The sequence below is a fragment of the Homo sapiens genome, chromosome 1, assembly GCF_000001405.40.
Source record: "Homo sapiens chromosome 1, GRCh38.p14 Primary Assembly".
NCBI lineage: Eukaryota > Metazoa > Chordata > Mammalia > Primates > Hominidae > Homo > Homo sapiens.
In genome coordinates, this window is record NC_000001.11 from 233,587,572 (window position 1) to 233,590,866 (window position 3,295).

The following is a 3,295-nucleotide window of genomic DNA, read 5'->3' on the forward strand; positions in this document are numbered from 1 at the left end:
ACTTGTCCAAATAGAAAGCAAACTGAAATGTGGCCTAGTTGTATGTAACTGACGGAGTATAATAAAATAAAATCCACTGATGTAATAAACATTTTTCTTTAAGTGGTTCTGGGATCCTAACATTGGTCTCTTAGAGAATGAAACATTATGCTAGCATACTCCTTGGTCCTGCCGTGAACAGTATTTACAAAATCATAATAATATAAATATTATTTACTAGAATTGAACTTCTAGAACCAAGTTATGGACAGCACTGAAGATTTGGTCATAGTTTCAGAATGGAATTCTTCCACTGAAGGATGAAGGATCAAGTGGTTACTATTTGCCATGTACCATCCCAGGCTTTGAGGATACAGCAATGAATAAAGATGGAAGAGAGAGAGGAGGAGGAGGAGGAAAATCCCTAAGTTCATAAAGCTTAAGTATGTTAGCAGCTTTGACAGCCTGTTGTTTTTGAGCGCTGCCAAAACTCCCCTCCCTCAGCTGGGTGGGTCCTAGAAAGTCCGAGTCCTTCCTGGGACCTACCACTTGACAGCCTTAGCACCGCAAGAGGGGACACAATGATTGCTATCACTCCCCTTAATGAGAAGTACCAATCACAGTGAAATTGACTGTATTTTGAAGGTCTCACTCAGGTGAATGGCTTGTCACCGAGAGGCGGAGAGGGGTAACCTGTGCCTGGAGAGGGGTAACCTGTGCCTGGGGGTGCACTGGATCAGTGCAGAGGCTGAGCAGATCGCAAGAGGGACATCACAGTCTGACTGCCCACTGCGTTAGTGAGGCAGCACCGAGAGAGGTCCTGGCACGTCGCCGATAACAATCTCTCTGCGCCGCCTTCCTTTGCTTTCTCCCTGACTCTAAGGGACCTTAATTACGACCCTAATTAACTCGCAGCAGGGGCCACTCTGGACCACCAGGAGCTTGTCAGGTAAACATCAGAAGAGAGAGGAAAAACATTTCAGCCGCTTCTAAACACAGGCCATTAAGGTTTTATTTAAAAGAAAAAGGAGAGAAAGGGAGTGATAATCTGGTGTTTACTGGCATCCCAAGAAGAGGCTACTGCCTAGAGGCACCCGGCTGCTTACCACTCTTTTCCTCTCATCAACCAGAGACAGAAACCAAAATTGCTGCTTCCAGATTTAAAAGCCTAAAACAACAGCAATCTCCCAAACAACAACAAAGCTACAAGTCCAAGGATTAAAAAAAAAAAGGAAACTTAAAACATTTTCTACCAAGCAAATGCGAGGTCTAGCACATAGAATGCAATGCTAACCCTAGATTATTTACTGGTTTGTAAACAAACCCTTAGATATGGGGGGGAGGATAAAAGGTAATTAAATCAATCATATATACATATACAAAATATTTTAGTATAAATATATGATAAATTCTGTATATGTATATATAATATATAGGTAAATTGAAACAAAGTTCTCTAATTATTAAACGAGAAATCCAAAATTTATATAGTAAATTTATACACTCAATAATTTATGTAACAAAAATGATTTTAAGAAGCTCTGATTGACTTATGTATCTATACAACATAGTTTCTAACTTAACTTCAACATTTGCCAAAATGCACTGATTGACAAAAGTTCGTGGACTTAATCAGTGTTGGAACTTGAGTTATAATTATACCTGCGGATCCCACTAAATGTTTAAACACAGTGCTTAATTTTAACAGGGTAACTAACCATAATATAGACAAAAGTGGATATGCCTCACTTTACCCGTAGCCTTGCCTAAATTTCTCATAGTCATAGTACCCATTGCTCTAAGATATGCCATATTGGGCAGAGATGTTCTAACATAATGACTAATAAATTAAAATTAACTTTTTGGCATTTACAAATTGGCTTCATAAAACAGGACCCTGTGCACTCCCAATTAAAATAGTTAATACGGCCCAATGTAAGTTAAAACAAGACCTCCAAGGATTAAAACAGTATACATATAAAACTTAATTAATTAAGAGGTAATTATCTCCACTGCTTGTCCATTTGAATTTTGCCTGTTCTCGAACTGGGAAAAATAATAAGTGCCTTAAGATGGATTACTACAACGTTAATGCTGTGGTCCTATCCATTAGGGCCCTATACCCAATGTCCAGTATTATTAAAATTATTGATTCTATTCAATCAACTACCAGTAAATATTTTGCTCTATAGATTGGCTAACATGTTCTATTCAGTTCAACAGCCTTTCAGCTGCGGTTTGTCTCCACCTCCTAAGGGACATAATACAGCTTTTCCAGGCCATCCATGGAGTACTGCAGCAGCCTTGCCATTCCACACAATCTTTACAAACAAGATCTCAGTGACATTCACCTTCTCCAAGAGCACAGGCAGGACACTAAGTCGTCGATGACATCCTGTTGCAAGGAGGTATATTTGATGCACTCACTAAAAACATAAGCCCAATATCCCTTAGTACTTTTGGGTTCTGGTGGTAACATCTTCTTTATTTACAAACTTTACTTATAAGTTAAGATCAACAGGCACTCCTCTTAGTGCCTTCACAAAAAACACTCCTTCACTGTAGAGGCATTGGTAATCTCTTCTGGGCCTCCTGGAGTCTCTAAACCCTGCATTATGGCCATTAGTGGCCCCAAGGCTCCTGATGCAAAAAAAAAAAAAAAAGAAAAGAAAAGAAAATTGTCCCTCTCAGCCTCATGCTATGCACCATTAAAATAAATGGCTGGCCACTTAGGAGCTTTCCTGGAAATAGAGTTTTTTCACAGACCCTGAGCCTAAGGCCCTCCATGCCCCACTGTCCATTGTGCTTTGGGTCATGGAAACAGCACCCCACAAGCTAGGCATGGCCACCAAAACCTTCTTAAGACAGGATGCAGCCAAACCTAGGCTCCAGGACATATTCTACCTGCAGAAGGGTGTGGCTTCCTTTAATTTAGTCTCTTACCAGATGCCAGGGTATTGGAGGGAGTCACCCTTCCCCCAGAGCCCTTGATCACCTGCAAAGCCCCTTGGGATTAACTGAGTGAACAGTAATGGGAATTGGTAGACAATGCAAATGTCACTGTTAACCATCATACACATGGAGCTTAGTGGAATGTGGCTGCTTTCCATTGCTTAACCAGGATGTCCCTGATAAAGGATGGGACCCAAGAAACAACACATTTGATCAAACTTCAGGCAGTCATCTTAGCACTGGATGCCCTGGTCAACAAATGGCCTATCTTCCCATTTATTATAAACTGTTGAGCTGTTACTTGAAAACTATCCCCTTTAAGGTAAAAAAAACTCTGGGAATCTCTTGCCTCACAGACACTAAA

General features: G+C 40.5%; 1 annotated feature.

Annotated features, from left to right (window-relative positions):
* Positions 414–1,274: an enhancer, noted in NCBI's record as "NANOG hESC enhancer chr1:233723731-233724591 (GRCh37/hg19 assembly coordinates)". NCBI's record gives its function as "activates a minimal SCP1, AML or CMV promoter by ChIP-STARR-seq in naive H9 embryonic stem cells {active_cell/tissue: H9 hESC(naive)}" and the evidence as "EXISTENCE:reporter gene assay evidence [ECO:0000049][PMID:30033119]".